Source organism: Homo sapiens, chromosome 1, assembly GCF_000001405.40.
Source record: "Homo sapiens chromosome 1, GRCh38.p14 Primary Assembly".
Taxonomy (NCBI): Eukaryota; Metazoa; Chordata; class Mammalia; order Primates; family Hominidae; genus Homo; species Homo sapiens.
Window position 1 is genome coordinate 215,626,190 of NC_000001.11, and position 21,150 is coordinate 215,647,339.

The 21,150-nt window shown below is 41.9% G+C and overlaps 1 protein-coding gene and 1 non-coding gene across 2 annotated transcripts in view; both read right to left on the reverse strand.

Annotated features, from left to right (window-relative positions):
* Nucleotides 1-21,150, reverse strand: part of USH2A (usherin) — an 800,558-nt gene that overhangs the window by 3,299 nt on the left and 776,109 nt on the right. Inside the window, exons 68-71 of the mRNA NM_206933.4 lie at nt 14,369-14,545; nt 12,966-13,049; nt 8,270-8,514; nt 2,625-2,846 (exon numbers count right to left, since the gene is read on the reverse strand). Of these exons, the coding sequence (NP_996816.3) occupies nt 2,625-2,846; nt 8,270-8,514; nt 12,966-13,049; nt 14,369-14,545 (728 nt within the window). The remainder of the gene's footprint in view (nt 1-2,624; nt 2,847-8,269; nt 8,515-12,965; nt 13,050-14,368; nt 14,546-21,150) is intronic.
* Nucleotides 3,837-3,928, reverse strand: LOC124904778 (small nucleolar RNA SNORD116). Its single transcript, XR_007067356.1, has one exon. It is a non-coding gene; the product is annotated as a small nucleolar RNA SNORD116 (small nucleolar RNA).

Consider the following 21,150-nt stretch of genomic DNA (forward strand, 5'->3'; position numbering starts at 1 on the left):
ACTTGATAAAAATAAATTAGCTGGGGGTATATATATATATTTTTAGTATATATATACACACTATATAGACACTACATATATATACTATATATTTTAGTGTATATATACACTATATATATATATGTATGTATGTATGTATGTATATAGTATTTTTAGTAGAGATGGGGTTTCACCATGTTGGCCAGTCTGGTCTTGAACTCCTGACCTCTGGTGATCTGTATATATACATATATATACACACATATATATGGATTTAGTTCAAACGGTAAATGGAAGAGGCAGAATGCTAGCTATTTGTGCTCCATTTCTTCCCACTCTTGTGCTGTATTTTGTATTTATCAAATAGGGTTAGTAATGTTGGTTATAATGTTATAATAAACAGATAACTTGCCAAGTACTGGCACCTTCAAAAGCTTGTTATTGAGTCCCTTTGCACATTGCCCATTATTAGTACCGTAAAAAGCAAGCAAAAATGACAATACAGTATAATAGTTACAAATAGGAGCTCTGTAGTCAGATGATGTTTTTAAGAACCCAAACCCATAAAAATAATTGCTAGCTGTGTAATCTCTCATTAAATCACTCATCTCTCTAAACCTCAGTTCTTTTTGTAAAAAATGAGGATGATAATAGAACCTACTTCCTACAGTTTGTGAAGATTAGATGTAATAATTCATCTGAACTTTCAATGTATTATGTTGAATGTATAGCAATTGCTGTTTTGCATGTCAAAAATGATCAGTTAGCAATTCATTGTTTCAACCAAATATAATTATCCCTGCCTTTTAAAAACTTTAGATCTGAAATGGACTCATGTAGTTGAGGTTACAACAACATCAAACAGCCTGTGATTTTAAAATGCATATTATATATATGTATATATTATACAATCATTCTGAACAGGCCAGAAGGATGGTACATTTTTTTATATAGTGTTAGGGAACCTGGGTCCAGCGAACTCCCTTTATTATTTGCTATTAGTCAAGAAAGGCTTCATGGAAGTCATCAACTTTTCAGTGAAGGAAAAGTGAGAACTTGGAGGAGAAAGATGAGAGCAAATCCAAAAACAGAAGCAGATGATTGAAAGAAGTGGAGGTGAATAATTTTACCCCAGAGGAGTAAACACAGGAGCTAACTTCCTAGCTGGTTATGTTTCTTTTCTTTTCTTTCTCTCCCTCCCTCCCTCCCTTCCTTCTTTCCTTCCTTCCTTCCTTCCTTCCTTCCTTCCTTCCTTCCTTCCTTCCTTCCTTCCTTCCTTCCTTCCTTCCTTCCTTCCTTCCTTCCTTCCTTCCTTCTTTCCTTCCTTCCTTCCTTCTTTCCTTCCTTCCTTCCTTCCTTTTTTCCTTTTTTTCTTTTTTCAGAGTCTTGCTCTGTCACCCAGGCTGGAGTGCAGTGGGGCCATCTCAGCTCACTGCAACTTCCACCTCCCAGGTTCAAGCAATTCTCCTGCCTCAGCCTCCTGAGTAGCTGGGATTACAGGTGCGCACCACCGCGCCCAGCTAATTTTTGTATTTTTGGTAGAGACGAGGTTTCACCATGTTGGTCAGGCTGGTCTCTATCTAACTCTGGACCTCGTGATCCGCCCACCTCGGCCTCCCAAAATGCTGGGATTACAGGCGTAAGCCACTGTGCCTGGCCTATCTGTTTATTTTCTAACAGGCCCAGTGGAATGGTAGGTACTGCAGCGGGCATCTAGGAAGTTAGCACAATGAAATTTGATAGTTGGCAAAAATTCTAGGATTTTTGTTATTGTAGCCGCTCAGAGACTGATAATAAATGTTATATCACGAAGAGGTTACCTTTCAAAGAGCCAATGATTTGTACCCACTGGACTGAAATTATGAAAGATGAAGCTTATAAATAGTAACACCCTCATTTGTCATCATTTCCTAAGGTTTTGGAAAGCAACCATGTTCACCTGTTGATACAAAATATTCTTTTTGCGTCTACCCATACACCAATAGGAAAAGGCAAAACAAAAAAAGTACCTTTTTGTTTTAGTAAAACAAGTGCTTGTATTTTATGCCTTGTTTTAGGCCCATTCCAATGTTTCCTGTCATCTGCTCCAAGTATATGAAGTATAACCTGTTTGCTGCTTATTTATTTATTTATTTTGAGATGGAGTCTCTGTCACCCAGGCTGGAGTGCAGTGGCGCGGTCTCGGCTCACTGCAACCTCCACCTCCTGGGTTCAAGCAATTCTCCTGCCTCAGCCCCCCTAGTAGCTGGGATTACAGGTGCCCACCACCACACCTGGCTAATTTTTGTATTTTTAGTACAGACAGGGTTTCACCATGTTGGCCAGGCTGGTCTCAAACTCCTGTCCTCAGGTGATCCGCCCACCTCGGCCTCCCCAAGTGCTGGGATTACAGGCATGAGCCACCACGGCTAGCCAATAAGCATTTATTTTTAAGCATCTATTGCATACCAGAAGAACAAGACAAAGTTTCTACCCTGCTTATCAAACAACTGAAGTAACATTAGTAAACCGGTTGTTACTACCTCACTGGCTAAGTGCTCAGAGGCGAGTGCCATGGGGCAGCATTCGGTGAAGTACAGGCAGCTCTGTACCAATATTTTTTCTGGGATATTTAGCAAAGGCCCTGTATGAGGAAACCAACTCACCAGTCCACTGTTGTGGCCCATGATGGCTTCCCACAGTGAGTTGTCCATCAAGACTTTCTTGTCTTGAATGTCCATGAGCTGGCTGACGCTGCGGTGAAGAGAACCCTGGGAGTAGGTTAGGCTGGTTTGGTTTTGACTCGGGATGCGCAGGACACATGCACTCCGGTTGCTGCGGATACTCACAGGTGTCCCAGACCGGGGAATTTTGGTATCGGCTAACCCCTGAGAAGGAAGTTGCTGTGAGTATTTCACATATAAAGAATATGGGCTTGAAATATGACAGAGAATTGTGTCTCACACATTGTCAGTGAAGGGAATGACTGTCTCCTGACAATTGTCACATTGTCAATGAAGGGAACAACTGTCACCTACAGAATTTAGCAGCTATGAGCACCCACAACACGGTGACCCTGGGTTTCTTGGTAAGAAGGATGAGATGATGAGCTAATACTCAAGTTAGGTGGCCAGTGTTTTCGGCACCTAGAGAGCTCATGCACTGGTGCTCTGGCTGTTGTTCCCTGTGGGGCAAGGGCTTGCTGCATTGCAAAGTGGTGGGGCAAGGCAGACGGATGATGGGTGAACAAGGTATCTTCTTCATACATGTCAGCACAGAGCCTCCCTCTTGAGAACACTCCTCCCCCAGAACAGCCAAAGATAACAATATTATTTCATGGTGGTCCACTATGTGAGCTCCGTTTGTCTTTCACTTTAAAAGTCCTGGATTTGTGTAGGGAAATTGACTCCTCCCTCCCTCATTTCTCATTCCATATTCCTCCATTTCTTATAGGATTCCAGCCTCCAAATTACATCAGGTCTGATATTAACATCAGAGAGAAAAAGTCACTACATAATTTAGACCTAGAACGCGCCGTAAGATAAACTATAGTTGCTCTAAATATCTGAGGGCTCTGATTTAGCTGGTCCAATCAATGAAATGTTTCTGCTTTTTCTTTTCTTTTCTTTTTTTTTTTTTTTTTTTTGAGACAGAGTTTTGCTCTTTCGCCCAGGCTGGAGTGCAGTGGTGCAATCTCGGCTCACTGCAAGCTCCGCCTCCCGGGTTCACGCCATTCTCCTGCCTCAGCCTCCCGAGTAGCTGGGACTACAGGCGCCCGCCACCATGCCCGGCTAATTTTTGGTATTTTTAGTAGAGACGGGGTTTCACCGTGTTAGCCAGGATGGTCTCGATCTCCTGACCTTGTGATCCGCCCGCCTCGGCCTCCCATTTCTTTTCTTTTTTCAGTAGAGTTTTCACTCATGTTGTTCAGCTTTCCAAGGAATGGATATATGGAAGTCATCAATGATCTGTTCCTGCTTTTCACTGTGCAGTCAACACACCATGCAAAAGATCATGCATTCATGCAGCACACAGAGGTACCTCAAAGTGCATGGTGTAACTTTTTAGGGTGACATTGCTTGACACATCAGATATATCAGCCACAGAGTCAAACTGAGAACAAATGGCAGCATCAGTCCATGTTTGGAACAGTTTTAAACACATTCCTTGCATTTCTCCAATGACAGCATTATCATACCCATATTTAATACTGCTCTGATGTACATATATATCCTAGGATACATACCTGCATATGTATATATGTGTGTGTATATATATGTGTGTGTGTATATATACATATATATGTGAATATATATGTATGTGTATGTGTGTGTGTATATATATATATATATATATATATATATATATATATATATATATGAGAGAGAGAAAGTTGGGTTTTGCAACTAAAACTTCATAGTGAGGCCGGGTGCGGTGGCTCATGCCTGTAATCCCAGCAATTTGGGAGGCCAAGACGGGTGGATCATTTGAGGTCAGGAGTTCGAGACCAACCTGGCCAACATGGTGAAACCCCGTCTCTACTAAAAATACAAAAATTAGCCAGGCATGGTGGCGGGCGCCTGTAGTCCCAGTTACTCAGGAGGCTGAGGCAGGAGAATCGCTTGAACCCAGGAGCTGGAGGTTGCAGTGAGTCGAGATCATGCCACTGCACTCCAGTCTGGATGACAGAAGACTCTGTCTCAAAAACAAACAAATTAAAAAAAAAAAAACCTTGGTGAGTGGAAATTAATTGATTAGTGTCTAAGGTAAGTACCACTGCCAGTATTTGTTTAGTATTGCAGGGAATGAAAGGATCTTCAAACCAGTAATTAAATAACAAGCAAAACTTAAACTTAGCTATACTGTATACTGTATGGTCTTGAAAAATGTTGATGAAATACAAAAGACACTCTCATTCCTTGGCACCTCTGCCTATTTCTCTCCATTCAGAGTATAGCCTAAAATCCTTTTGCCAGTTTGGGTCTGATGTTCAAAGGGTATCTTACCTGTTCACAAGACGGGTGCTTGGAAGAGGGTCACAGCAGCACTGAAACCAGAGCTTGTCACATGAGGGGGAGAAGTGTGTGTGTGTGTGTGTGTGGGTGGGTGTTGCAGGGGCATAGCTCATTGACCTACTCAAGTGAAAAGACAGTCAATCTGGAAAACTGAGCAGGTGAATCTGGCTTGTTCCTATTCAGATTCTTCCCCTTGACTGGATTCTTTCCCACCTGAGTAGATGAGGAGCCCACAGTCACCAACAGGGACTTCATTTTGCTCTACTAATACAAATTGTACTCTCTTTAGTTTGGCTAATTTTTGACAATGTCTCTCATGGTCTCCAACTTTGTGAGAGCAGTTTGGTTTAAAAATATTTGTAAAAAGCAACAGAAGAAGACTTGCAAATACACTGTCAACTGGATAGGATTAAATTATGATTCAACAGGCTCAGGGGAATTCCACCCGGTGCCCTGGTGTATCCCAGATTTCACTTCTGCTGAGACCTGCCTGCAATGAATGGCTTCCCTGCTGAGGATGAGCCAGTTCCCTGGGCCCAGAGCCCCTGGCAGCCAGCCAGTCCCTCTATGCCTTCCCATCCTCACACCTGACTCAGTCTTGGCCACTCAGTGAAAGAATCAGTTGGGTGCCACTGTGCATTTCCCCGATGGTAAAGGGTGTGCAGGAACAGGGTGTTTACATTCTTTTGTCCGCTTTTCTCAGCTGAAGCCTAAGTCTGTCCCCAGAGGCGGCTTAGCCTGTGTGGTGTCAGGACAGCAAGGTCTAACCAGCACCCTCCCACCACCTGTTTCTACTGGTTATCAAACAGTACACTGCATACAGGTTTTGTATTATATTATTATTTCATTTTCAGCTGTTCTCAAATCTTGCTGTGCATCAGACTTCTTTTTTTGTTTTGTTTTGTTTTGTTTTGTTTTGTGACGGAGTCTCGCTCTGTTGTCCAGGCTGGAGTACAGTGGCGTGATCTCGGTTCACTGCAAGCTCTGCCTCCTGGGTTCACACCATTCTCCTGCCTCAACCTCCCAAAGTGCTGGGATTACAGGTGTGAGCCACCGAGCCTGGCCCAGACTTCTTGAGGTTCTGGTTAAAATGGCAGATTATTGAGTTTCTCCCTCAGAACTTCAGGTCCTGCTCCTCCTATGTGATGCTGATGCAGATAGTTCATGGTCCTCACTTTGACAAAACGAAGCTTAACAAGACTCATTAAAACCCTGAGCAATGGGGTTATATCCAGAGTAACATAACATCTCCACAAGAATGATGGGAGTGTCTTCTGGTCACTAAGTTAACCAAGTAAGGAAGACAGTGTTCTTCCTCATGGAGGATTCTGACACAGAGGTGCCTGCCTATAGGGACTGGGTCAAAGGACAGGAGAAAGTATCACTGAAATGACTTCTGGACATTGCTGGTATGTGGGTACACTTTCCTGTAACCGCACCTCACATTATACAGTAGATGTGCCTAGCAGTGCTTGGGAACCTCCCTTTCACCACTCCATGCACTCCATAGACCCTAGTTTCAGTTTAGCTCATCTCCCAGGCTAAACAGATCTCTCCTGCCTTCTTTTCTCTCTTCCACTGCCTTCCTCCAGCAGCAGTGCACCTTCTAGGAACATGGGCTCCTTAAAGAAAGTTATTCTTTAACAAGGAAAAATTTTGAAATATCTGCTCTTCAGTGAGAATCTCCTAATGACTATTCACTGAACAGGAGCAAACAGCCCATGGTTCGAAGTGATCACTCGACATTCATTCATTCAACAAACATTCGTGGAGTGCCTATGATATGCCAGGCACCGTTCTGGGTCCCGGGGCACATACAACAGGAAGAGGCCCACAAGATCATTGATCCTGGGAGCTTACCTTCTATTTCAGGAGTCAGACAAACATATCTGACTTAGTGTTATGTGGTAAATGCTATAGAAAAGAAAAGAAGTGGGTTAAGGGGCTAGGAAATTTTACATAGAATGGGAGGTGACATTTGTGCAGAGATGTGAATGAAGCAAGAGTGTGAGCCACCCAAGGAGCAGCAGCAGTAATGGCCCTGTGGTTAGAGCTTGTCTGATGGGCTCAGGGAGGAAGGAGGCTCCGAGGAGGATGAGTGAGTAGAGGAGTGGGACAGATGTGAGTAGAGAGCCAAGGCCCTGATGGTGTTGGGCAGTGCCTTCTTTGCTTCTCCACCACCACGTCATTGTCCCATTGCTACTTCCCACAAAAACCACAAACCGTGGACCTCGGAGGGCCCACTGCCCTTTTGTGCTCCCAACACTCCTGCTACTTAGGTCTGATCCAGCTATGTTGGGGCTTAACCAGTGGTCATTCATTGCTGAGTGCTGGAAAAGTGAAGAGATCTGGAAGGCAGATGGTGCTGCTGTGTTCACTCACTGCTGTTTTTTTAAATGTTGAAGTGTAAGCAGCTTGACCAGGCTTCTGTGCTTAATTTTAGTACTGCCTAGGGTAGCCACTAGCTAATATAGAACCTTAGTGCAAACTGGAAAAAAGGCACCTCCTCAGGGAGACGTAGCCCTGTGGGCGCCCAGCTTTGGTGAACAGATGGGTACCTGATGAGGATTAGAAAACGCAGCCTTTCCTCCTCCAGGTAGACATAGCCCCACACCAGACTGCACCATGGAATTAAATCACCTTTTACCCTTCAATGAGTGCTCTGGGCAATGACTGTCCTGTAATACCAAGTGATGGGGCCCTCTCCCACTAGACCTTTACTGGACCTCCTATTTTGGGAGTGAGTGGTCTATAGCTAAGAGGAGCCATCCATCCTCTGTGGCACAGGGTGTCAGGACCAGAGGACAGACCGAGCACCACTAGCACTGTAGCCCCTTCCTCCCCATCTCCGCCTTTTAATGTTCATTCCCCGCCACCAAATTACACAGTAATACAACCTATAATTTCCCCAGGTAATCTCAACATACAACTCTTCTCCACCAGGCCCTGGCTTACAATTACAGGGCAGAGATACTCATCCCTAGTTACACATTAAAATCAGTTTTGGAGTGAAGAAAAGAATACCAATCTTCAGGCCCTACTCAAGACCAAGGATATGAGAATTTCTCGGATGAAGTCCAGGCAGTGATATTTTTTAAAGCTTTCCAGGTGATTCTAATGTGCAGCCAAAGTTGAGAAAGCTGTTCTAGGGTTAGCCTCTCTTGGTCCCCACACTTAGTGAAACATAACTTACATCTAATTCCTTGTTACCATGGCTATGACACATTTTTCTCAGAAGGAAAACAAGTATTCTAGTCCAGTGATAGGGAAATGGGGCCACACCTCTACAAACATACCATATGGTTTTCCCCCGGTGGGTAAACATTCAATGGAGACATCCTCTTCTGAAGAGGTACCAAGGGAGGTCTTTCTCTGATATATGGCTCTTTGTGGATTTTTCTTTGTAGTATCAGGGACAGAAAAATGGCCAACAAGATCAAGCCCAGCATCGCCATTAACACTATGAACCACAGCTCGCTGTAGAACTCTGTGCTTTTGCTCCGCGATCCCTTCTTTTTCCCAGGAGTTGTTAGGACCAAGCCTGCAAAACCCAGAGAAAGAAAGGGGAAATGTTATTTCAGAAAGCATTTTTGTCATCTCTGGCCCTGCTATTTGATAGTAAATTAGAGAGGAGTTGAAAGCAGAAAGCAGTTTGTCTCTTACTGCTTGTTTGCACTTGTGTGCAGCCTGGGGTAATGGTTCAGCAGGTTGCTGGGTTATAACGAGATGCTTACAGCCCTTGAGAGGCCTTGCTGACACTTCTGGCGCTGCTGCTCAGGTTGGAAATCACCACTGTCTTGACAAATCCCTGGGAAAGATGGGAGTGTGGGGAGCAATTTTTAAAAGAGGTTACCAAAGTAACCTTGAGGGTCACCTGTTTCATAGCTGTGTGTCTTGGGAGCAAAGTCCTTGCTTGGATTCTCATGAGGGACTGGGACCCTTACTATTATTGCTGCAGAGTCACAAACAAAATCACTCCTTGGAGATCTGAGGTGTACTTGCTTCATGCAACAGTCCAATTCCTGATACTTCGTGCAAACTGGATTTTGAAGCATCAGATTCCATTTTCCATTATGATATTAACAGCCTGTGTTTGCTACCATGTTGTCTTTACATGGCCTCTCTGTTAAAGAGCAAAGCTCAGCAAACCATCACCCAAATGCACTGGGAAAGCTTCCTATGGAAAGAAATCTTTTAGCACTGGAGCCACTTACCTTTGCTTGGCGTTCACACATTGAGAGTTCAGTTGGTGTGAGTCTCTGCACATGAAGTTAGTATTAATAAAAGTAGCTCACATTTAACAAGAATGTACCTGGTGCCAGGTCCTATGCTTAGAGCTTTACAGGGATGAAGGGTGGGTAGGATTATTTTTATTTATTTATTTATTTATTTATTTATTTATTTATTTTTTGAGATGGAGTCTTGCTCTGTCACCCAGGTTGGAGTGCAGTGGTGTGATCTCCGCTCACTGCAACCTCTGCCTCTTGGGTTCAAGTGATTCTCCTGCCTCAGCCTCCCAAGTAGCTGGGATTACAGGTGTGCGCCACTATGCCTGGCTAATTTTTGTATTTTTAGTAGAGATGGGGTTTCACCATGTTGGCCAGGATGGTCTCAATCTCACGACCTCATGATCCGCCTGCCTCGGCCTTCCAACATGCTGGGATTACAGGCATGAGCCGCCGCACCCAGCCAGGCAGGTTTATTAAGTCTTGTGGGGAAGATAGGAGAGAGGCTGACAAGAATCATGCAGGATAGGCGAAGGCAGTGAAATTATGTTGTCAGCTTGGCAAGCTAAGCAGGGGTGCGGCAGGGGTGGGGGTGGGGTGGCCAGAGATCTGCTCCCATCCAGCCACTGCTGGGGCCAGCACAGAAACCTGTGGATCTGATGCAGCGGCCACACAGGCTGGTGTGGAGATGTGAGCCAGAGAGCTGCTCATCTAAATCTAATACCCACAGCCAGGTCAGAAGAACAAGCAGACACAACTGCAAAGCCCACTCACTCACTGGACAAATCTCCCCCTTTTCAACACCTCTAGAACTCCATGGGCCTGCGTGGTACTTCACACTCACACTAGCAGGGAAAGACTTAAAGGAAAAAAGTTCAGAACTGGGGTGAAACTATTAAAGGCAGGAACAGATGGTGACTAAAACTAAACTTTGAACTCCGTAAGAGGAGGGATATTACTTTGCCAACCCTAACTCTGCTGCCGATCAGCTCTGTGATTAAATGTTGGACTCTGACCTTTGCTTCTCATCTCTAAAATAAAGGGTTGAGTCAACACTCCAATCAAGCTCCAGCAGGTCGAAATTCCCCTAATTAGGAACCAATGTGTGTTGTTTGATTAAAAACAAACCAGCCTAGGTTGCACACTAAAAGAGTTGTTTCCTCTGTGTGTGGCACAGAGAGAAAACAACTTGTTGGCTGTAACTCCAGAAACTGATCTGATGGGCCCAGTGGGCCCCTTGCTCCACAGCACGCAGGGGAAGGGAGGGCAGCCTGCCCGAGGGAAGCCTCAAAAGGGAAATAGCCCTTAGAACAGTCAGAGGAAAATGAGGTCTCTGCCACTCTCCTGCTTGGAGGCTGCCTTCAGGCAAGGGAACAGGAATGTTTTTAAAAAAGTTACATCATGAAAATTAGAACTGACGATGGATATTAGTTGGGCAGCACATCTTGGAATCTGCCAGAGCATTGCACAATCCTCAGAGTTCTTCCCCTCTGCTCTACCCAAAGCCCGGCCTCCAGACACAGTGGAAACCTCAATTCGTATTCATGAGCCAACGGGGGATTTCTCCTTTTTATGAAGACCTCGAGATCAGGATGGTGTCCCTTTATCCCTTCCCTTCTGTCTTTTTGAAGTACCCCTTCACCTTAAGGGACTCTACCTGTGCATCACATGGGAGGTTCACTGTCAGGGTTTGAAACTCTGGTGGCTGGGCCTCAGATCCAAAGAAAACCGAAACCACAGCCAGTGTCAGAGTAAATCCGTCTCTGTTGATGGCCTGCCTCCAGGAACAACACACTTCCCATTCACCAAGGAAACTAGACTGGCAGGGCTTAGAAGGCGAGCAACCTTGGTTTTCCGGCATCACTCAACACGTGGTTCTGAGCCCTGTGTCAGAATCACTGGACAGGACTTATTTAAAGAGCAGATTCTGAGCCTCCTTGAGTCTGAATCTCTGCCAGAGGCCCGGGAAACTACAATAAACAAGCACATGAGGTGATTCCTATGCGTACTTAACTTGGCAAACCATTGCAAAGAAAAAGTCCCAGGCCAGAAGTCAATAGAAAATCTGTGTTGGTGTTCTCATCCCAGTAACAAGCTAGCAGAGCATTCCTGGATAAATTCCTGTGTCCCTTATACCTCCACTTGTCCACTTGGGGAAATATTGGAGTTGCTAACAGAATACTAAATGAGATCTGTTCTATCCTACCACTGCTATTAAATGAAATAAGCCGTATGAGAAGAATTAAGTGTTGTAGGAAATTTTATATGACATCCAGACATGTAAAGTTTGGAAACATAGAATAATACGTTATTTTTACAAATTGAAACTATCCTTGACAATAATATACATGTTTCATCATGTATGAGACTCTGTCTCAAAAAAATTAAAAAAAATTTTTTTTTTAAATTGTGTTTCAGAAATTTTGGACATGTTTATTTTTCAAAAAAAAACTCTATACATGCAAATTTGATATATCATTAATTACTGGAATTTAAAATAGGATATCAATCCCGAATCTGTTTTAGTGGAAAAGATTTGGCATTTCTCTAATTTGCTTTTATAAAGTATCACAAATTTAGATTCAGAGACTATGAGTAAAACTCAGTTTAAAAGATGCTCCTTAAAAATTAAAATTGTACCCGTTGAGCTAAATTACCCGATATCAACAGTCAATCATAATCTTTTATGGAGAATAAAAGACACTTTCCAAATTTATCATTCTAGGCTTTGAATCTAGAATATTAACATTATGATCAACATGAATTGGCTGAATATTTTCTTTCTTCTTCTGATCTCTCCTCTAACTTCCTCTGTAAATCACCTTTATGCACGCGAAGTCATACAATTCTTTATTGACAGGGTTTGTGGTTAGGAGAAAAATTTAGTTTGAGCTCTCTGGTCTTTTCCATATTTACAATTCAATATTTGGCATTTTAAGAGTACATTCTGGCCAGGTGCAGTGGCTCACGCCTGTAATTCCAACACTTTGGGAGGCCAAGGTGGGTGGATCACCTGTGGTCAGGAGTTCGAGACCTCCCTGGCCAACAAAGTGAAACCCCATCTCTACTGTAAATACAAGAATCAGCCAGGCGTGGTGACATACACTTGTAGTCCCAGCTACTCAGGAGGCTGAGGCAGGAGAATCGCTTGAACCTGGAGCTAGAGGCTGCAGTGAGCTGAGATTGCACCACTGCACTCCAGCCTGGGCAACAGAGTAAGACTCTGTCTCAAAAAAAAAAAAAAAAAAAGAGTGTATTGTAACTCCTTGCCTGATATAAGTTCCATGAGGACTTTTTAAAAAATTTCTGGCTGGGCACAGTGGCTCATGCCTGTAATCCTAGCACTTTGGGAGGCCAAGGCAGGCAGATCACGAGGTCAGGAGATCCAGACCAGCCTGGCTAACAAGGTGAAACCATGTCTCTACTAAAAATACAAAAAGTTAGCCAGGTGTGGTGGCCCGTGCCTGTAATCCCAGCTACTCGGGAGGCTGAGGCAGGAGAATCGCTTGAACCCAGGAGGTGGAGGTTTCAGTGAGCCAAGATTGCACCACTGCACTCCAGCCTGAGTGACAGAGCAAGACTCCGTCTCAAAAAAAAACAACAACAAAAAAAAAACAAAAAAAAAAACTCTGACAACACTTGGCACAATTTCTTCTGTATAGTCTATGCTAATATATTAGGACTCCAAGTATGTATAAACAAACATATGTGTGTTTCTTGAGGAAGATGAATAGGTGCTACGCCAAGTATAATATGAGTTGTTTACCAAGTCCAGTAGAGGTATCATATTGGATCAACGGCGTCTTAACACTTCCTTCGTCAGTCGTGCAGATGACCTGGAAAAAGAAGGCTAGACAAAAGGAAGAACTGGTAAATGACTTGTTCATTCAACACCTACAAATAGGGCACATGCTTTTAAAAGAGCAATGCATCATAGCATGAAAAATAGGATTCCAAAGCAAGTTATGACGTTTTATATAATATTCAAAATTACTTCTAATTTTAAAATGTTTAAGAAAAAAAGCTATCATTAGTGTAATAATAGCCTATCCATAAGTAATAGAGCTAAGGAAAATTAGAGCTTATACAGCAAAGGAAAAGAACATCAGACGAGTAAAGGGTAATACACAAAGCGCATCTTGTTCTGCACACGGTTTAAATCCTTCCTTTAAAATTTACAGGTGTACTTTCCACTAAATGACCTAGAGTTTCTTACTGAACAGGAGAGCTCAAAAGGGATCCTAGAAATCACATGGTCTAAATTGCTCTTCCAATGGCCAGGAACCTGAGGGAAGTGACCCTTGCAAGGTCACACAGATGGTTATAGGCCTGGCCAGGTAGAACCTGTGTCTCCCAACCATCAGGCCACCTTCCTTTCCCAAAGAGCTGCCCAGGTGACCATGAACTGTAACAATGAACATGTGTAGCTGAATCTTTGTAAAAATGTTATTAAGTTTCTATTACTATACATGCAATGCTGGAGCTCACTGTTTACCTCTACCTTACAGCCAAAATAAAATACTCATTAATCAATTCATTATATAGTGAACATTGGTCCTGTGAGCATGCTGATCACTATAAAATACTTAGCACCTTGTAAAGCATTTTCTCATTTCAATTTAAAAACAAGGCAAGGAGAAAAGGGACATGTAAGTAAACAGGAAGAAGGAACTCCATTTTAGAGGGTCAAGATTGTTCTTTCAGGGGCTGATATCAAGGAAGGTTAAGGAAACCCCTTATTCAGGTCCTCATGAGTTGGAGATAGTTATTTCCTGATAGGGCTCTGTTTGGAGACTGGAGATACAGCAAGAAAATCTATGAAGTTGCTAGAAGTGTATTATTTTAGGGTAGTCATTGACTATGTATGGGTGCTATTTCTTTTGTGAACCCAACTGGCCCTTGGGTCTTATCCCTTCCTGGGGACCCTCCAGTCCTGTGGAGGCAGCGCTGTCCCCTTGAACTGCATTATAACTGCAGTGCTGTCAAGCTGCAAATGGGAAGGAAAGAAAACCTTATTTATCCTGAGCAGTAACTTTTTCACAAGAAGGGGGCACTTAAACCAAGACATTTTAATGGTGAGCATCTGCTGGTCAGCTTTCAGATTTAGCATCCCGTAAAGCTGGGGAACAGAGCGCCTTCCACACTGAGAAACAGGAGTCAGAAACTAACTTTTGTCCGCCGTTCTCGGTATGTAGAGGGTGGTGTCCAAGCCGCTGTACACGCGTCGCCCTCCGTCGGTTAACACGTACTCCTTCAGTTGGCCGTTCAGGAGGAAGGTGTCACTCCAGTTCACACACACCACAGACAAATTGCTGTCCACCGAAAATGGGGCTCGGTACTGAGGCACTGTGGGGAGAAAGTTGTATGTTCTAAAAAGGGTAACCTCTTTGAAGGAGTGCAGGTGTGCACTTTAAAAAAAAAAAATATGAGCAAAATCAAACCGAACCAATCCAAACAAAAAAAAAAAAAAAAAAGAAAACCAACATTGCTAGAATCCTTCACTTTTTCCTCAGTATTACGAAACAACCAGTATCAGGGGTGAAAAGAAAACCAATGGGAACATGTGTGAAATGCTTTCTCAGCAACTTTATGCCTGCTTTAAAAAAAATCGATAGAGAGTGGTGTTTTATAAATAAAACTATTAACATACAATGGATCTGCTCACCAGCATAACCCTGGAGCTCATATTTTGTTGCATTTTCCCTCTTTTTAACAGGTAAAGTATCCTTAATACTATTAAGTACAGTAGATAGCTATTTTTCATATCAAATCAATATTTATTGCCACAAAGCCCCAAGGACTAGATGAAGTTAATATATTTTTTTCTCCAAACCAAACTGCTTAGATGGTGAATTACGTCCTTTTGGCACCCATTTATTGTTAAAGCTTTTTCTCAAACTGTTAGTTTGTTTTCTAAGATAGTTAAAAAGCCTTGCAAACAGTAATTCAAGTATAATAATTCATGGCCCTGACTAATCAATCAATAGCATAGTACATTAGTATATAATCAAGCTCAGGTGTCCTAAGTATTATATCACATATAGAAGCAACTTTGTGTGCATTTCACAGGCACATTCTCTTGATTTTTCAGTTCCTTACTAAAACAAAAAGAAAATCCTTAACTGGGGCTCACCTTTTAAATGAATAATTTTTGTGGAAACAAATGAAGGGATACCATGTCATCTTGTCAAGTCAGAAGAGATTTATTTCATGAGATCTTATTTTCTACAAAATAATCAATATATTTGTAAAAACATTAAGATTCACCTATATACCAAATTGGCTTTTAAGAAAAGAAAGGAGTGAGTAGTGAGACTAAATTGAATCTGATTCTTTTTCTTTAAAAATCAATCCATCTATTTCTGATGTTAGGAAATATAACAAAATAAGGAATAATTATGCTTTTGTAATTGTAATATTCAACCGTAAAGACACAGTTGATTGTTATCTTTCAAAATAAGATATTTTCATAAAGCCATAAGAAAAATTTTCTGCAAACACCAAAACAAGAGTTATCAAGCCCTCTTTAAATCTCAATGCTTTTCCAACATTGATTCTGCCTGATATCACAAGGAATACTCTATTGTTATTTGTCTATGACTTCTCTCCATCACCTTAGTTCAGTAGATTTTCACTTTTTCCCTATATCATAACAGCACAGATAAAGAAACAGCTTGTAACTAGCAAGAAAATAGAAAGATAGGAGTCTTATTTGTCCTGTAGGGTTTGGAGACCTTCCTGAGGAAAAAGAGTAAGCAATTAAAATAATCGAGAATAATGAGTTTACAAATCCTCCCCAAGGAAGACTGAAAAAGCTGTAAGTACCACTACGCTCCTAGCTTTTGACATACTTTATCTCATTTAATCCTCAAAATAATCCTGTAAAGATTGATTCCTAATTTTTGGGGTGAGAAAACTCAGGTTCAGAGAGGTCAAATATCTTGCTCTATGTCAGTGGCTGGTAGGAGACCAAGGAGCTGAACCTAGGCTTGCTTAAATAAGGCCCATGCTACTTTGTTATCATCGGTACACATTTGTTGAAAAGAACAGAATTTACCAATTCACCCTATGGGTGCTCTCCAGTGGTGTGCTGAAGTTGGCTCACCCCAACTGTTAAATATTCAGGAATTTTGTGAGTCATTGTTAAATCCGGCCACTACTAAAAATTAAATTATATAAACTTAAATAAATTATATTAAAACAAAGCTTATAAATACTCCAAATTCATAACTTTTTATTTGTTTCACTACATTTTACTACCGTCTGTGTGCTCGAGGTCATTTACATCCACTCTATCTGGCTGGTGGAAATATTATATAATGATACGCTACAACCCATCCCTTCCTAACTCTGTTCAGTGCTGTCATGTTGGTCACTTGAGAGCAGTAATGGGGGTATTCACACCATGGAAACTGATAAGCACTTCAAATCAGGCCATTTTTCCCTCAAGCAGGCCAGCTGTTAAACATTTACACCTCACCTCTCTCTCCACTGAAGGGGGATTCAAGCAGAGGGAACTAAATGTGTTGTTAGGCTTCTTCTCCAGACCCGTTGCTGAGTGTACATGTGATCACATCTATATAAAACTGCATATTCTATTTTTAAATTATTATGGTTACTATTTTGAGTTGGACTCTTGCTCTGTTGCCCAGGCTAGAGTGCAGTGGCGCTATCTCGGCTCACTGCAACCTCCGCCTCCCAGGTTCAAGTGATTCTCACTACTCGGCCTCCCAAGTAGCTGAGATTACAGGTGTGTGCCACCACACTCAGCTAATTTTTTTGGATTTTTAGTAGAGATGGGGTTTCACCATGCTGGCCAGGCTCGTCTCAAACTCCTGACGTCAAGTGATCTGCCCACCTCTGCCTCCCAAAGTGCTGAGATTACAGGCGTGAGACACCACACCAGGCCCCAAATTATTTTCTGGTTTGTATTCTCTGGTGCATGTTTTCGTGCTCCCAGTATTTATAATGAGTTAAAAGTAGCATAAGTGGTATTTTAGAACCTGTATCATAGTCATTTCTTGTATTTTTCCGTAACTATTGACCCAGTAGTGGATTAAGGGAACCTCTTCTCCTATGGTGCTAGTCCAGGTTTAAGCTGCTTCTCCAATATAAAAAAACACAAATAGATAAAATCCTTTTTTTTTTTTTCTTAAAGACCAAGTCTTGCTCTGTTGCCAAGGTTGGAGTGCAGTGACATGATCACAGCTCACTGCAGCCTTGACTTCCAGGACTCAAGCAATCCTCCTGCCTCAGTCTTCTGAGTAGCTGGGACTACAGGCGCATGTCACCATACCTGGCTATTTAAAAAAAAAATTTTTGTAGAGATAGGTGTCTTGATATGTTGCCCAGGCTGGTCGTGAACTCTTAGCCTCAAGCAATCCTCCCCCATTGGCTTCCCAAAGCGCTGGGATTACAAGTGTGAGCCAGTGTGCCTGGCCACAGGAAGAAAATCTTAAATCAGTTCACTTTGTTCTTCCAAGCATAAGAAAAAAAAAATTCTGGCAAAAGCTAAGCTTCATGACTCAAAAGGGAATTGGTTATAAATTACAAAGCTCACCTAGCTGTTCTCTGGCTTTCTGGCCACATCAACCAAAAAACTGCAACATTTAGCAAAATTGGCTTCTGGATGTAGTGCAAAGGAGATTACAAAATCAGACAGCACACATTAAGAATCATTACAGTTTGCTTTGAATATAGTATGGGTGACAAAAAATGCTGATTGAGCAGTGTCAACAATAAACATGCAGTGTTAGGTGCACTCGCTTATTCATTAAACAACATTGATTGGAATCTAAGATACTGTGCCCAGTGCTGGAGATGAAAATGGAGAAAGTGAGGACTAAAGGAAGCATAGCTTGAAGGGGAAAGTTGCAAGCTCTGTCTGGGGCCTGTCCAATGTAAGCTGGTTATGAGAAATTCAGAGGGAGATGTCTGTGAGGAATCTGGGTGGAGGGGTATACACTTCAAAACAGAGCACTTGACTAGGAGGTGACCACTGGAGTTTGGCTTTTGGAACCAAAGCCTTGGAGCAGATGAACTCACCTGATGAGGGAGGAGGAAAGGAGGGAGTAGAGAAACGGCAAGGGGACAAAGTTAAAATGTTTAGGATTAAGATTTGGGCAGCGGAAGAAGATCAACCAACAAAGTTGACTAAAAATGAAAATCCAAAGAAGTAGAGGAGAAACCAGGAGAGGGTGGTAATGAAAATGAGGGTAAACCACTTTTTAAAAAAGGATTGAACATTGAAAGTTCAGTTGCGTTGAATGCTACTGGAAAGTCAGTGAAGGTGACTCCTGGAGAAACATGCCTTCTGGATATATCAGTATGGAGGCCAAAGGCAAACTTAGAAAGGGATTTTCATCCAGTGCTGAGGAAGTTAAAGAGTAAGTGGAAGAGAGGATATGGGCAAAGCATCTGCAGACCGTTCCTCAGGAAAGTTTTGCTGTCAGAGAGAGTAGAGTCCACATCACTGCAGGGGAAGAGGAGCTTGTTTGCTTTAACATTAGAAGGGTAGAAGGAACTTTGAATCAAAGTGAGATACACAGAAAGATTAAGGAGAGAGAAGGGATGGTGAGTAATGAAGTGGATGAAGTTCACTGCATGGAAGGCAGGTTTATTTCAGACGGAAGAAGGACCACCCTTTCCTTGTCACTGACAGCAATGGGGTATATGCAGGTAGCTTTGTCTGCAGTGGGAAGTGGAGCAAATTACTGACTGAAGACATCTCTTTTCCTGGAAAATTACAAGACAAGGAGTTCTGCAGAGAATAAAGGGAGAAATGGGTGAGCTGGGTTGTGGGCATGAAGGGAGAAAGGGTGAGCGGCAGAGGGAGGTTTGGCGAAGGTGGAGATGGTTTGAAGTCTTGATTACAGAGAGTAGGAAATGAATTGATCAGGGAAAGAGTAGTACTGAGACAGCAGCTGAGCTCAGTGACCATGAGTTCAGAGTAATTACTGCACTTACTAGATGTGGAAACTGGCCAGGTTACTTAAGCTCTGGCCTTAGTTTAGGGCCACGTCACTGTCTAACTCCAAGAGCCTCAGTTCAGATCATAGTCTATATGAATGGCATCCTGGAATCGCAGTACACAGTTTATAGTTCTGCCTCAGTTTTTTCATCTGTAAATTTGGATAATAATAGGTCTGTTGTAAGAATTATTTGTAAAATGCTAAAATACTGCCAGGAACAAACAAGTCCTCTGTAAATGTGATCTGTTACTAACATCCTACCATGTTGTTGCTCAGACACATTAAGCTCCTTGTGTGAGACATTGGTCTTTATGAATGCGTAATTCTTGCTTTTAAAATTGGCATCATATTCAATGCCAGATAGAGTATTTTAGGTAAGATTTATAATCTGACATAATCTTTCTTGAAAGCAAACATGAAACTAGTATCCAAAGCCTTAAAATATTAAAATACTTGATGTATTAATAGCAAATTCTATTTGTCAAAATTTAATTTAAGAAGATAACCAGACATTCAAAGATCTGTTCACAAAGATTTTTTCATCATATTTATTAATGGGAAATTAAAAAAAAAACAAAATGTCCCAATTAATTTATATATGGAATATTGTATAGCCATTAAAATTGGTGGCTAAAGAGTTTTTTTAATGCCACGGGAAATGCAAATACAATAACGTCAAGTATAAAAAGCTGACTATGAAATTTTAGTTATAGTATTTCAGCCATATAGTAAAAATTACCCATAGAAAGGAGATTAAAAGAATTGATTATGCCAAAATATTAGTAGTGGTTGCCTCTGGGTTGGGGTATAATAAGCTGGACCAGCTTCCTTGGCATGTGACCTGTGCTGTTGCAAGGGCCTGTGACATAGAAGAGTCTTGGACTTAGCCTGATGCTGTACTGTTACTGTCTTGGAATTCTTAAAGATTTTTCAGCAAAGGATTCCATATTTTCATTTTCCACTGGACTCCATAAATTATGCAGTTGGTTCTGATAAGCACTTATTATTCTTAATACTTTTTGTGTTTGCCATTATTAAACAATGAAAGCATATACCTTATAAAATCTAAGTTATAGTCATATATCTCATAATGACATTTTGAGCAAGACTGCAGAAATGATGGTGGTTCCATAAGATTATAATGGAGCTGCCCTGTACCATCTCTTACATTTTTTGTTTTTTTTTGAGAAGGAGTCTTGCTCTGTTGCCCAGGCTGGAGTACAGTGGCGTGATCTCGGCTCACTACAACCTCTGCCTCCTGGGTTAAAGTGATTCTCCTGCTTAAGCCTCCTGAGTAGCTGGGATTACAGGTATGTGTCACCATGCCTGGCTAATTTTTGTATTTTTAGTAGAGATGGGGTTTCACCATGTTGGTCAGGCTGGTCTCGAACTCCTGACCTGAGGTGATTCACCCGCCTTGGCCTCCCAAAGTGCTGGGATTACAGGCGTGAGCCACTGTGCCTGGCCCTCTTATCTTTTATATCAGATTTTTTCTGTGCCTTTTCTATGTTTAGATACACAAATAACCATTGTGTTACAATTGCCTGCAGTATTCAGCACAGTCACATGCCTATGGGGCAGAGTAGGTTATAACATGTAGGTCTGTGCAAGTACATTCTATGATATTTTCACGACACTCGCCTAACGATGCATTTCTCAGAACATATTTCCATCGTTAAGCGATGCGTGACTGTATTATATAAAAATGTAAGGAAGCCCCCAATTAATTAGTTGATTGCTCTTTCCTTCACTCACTTGCCCTTTTGCTTTTCCTAATAGTGCTATGTCTCAATGCTCTCTGGACATACTAGAGATTATGCCATGTAATTTACAAAGAAAAGGAGTAGCAAAACTTCTTATAAAAATGGTCTACCAGTGTTTGTTCATTTTCTTTCTTCCCATTGATCGTTTAACTTCCCCTAAATTTATTTTTACCCTATCCCCACAAGAAAATCCTTCTTAAATTTTCCCTTGACTTCC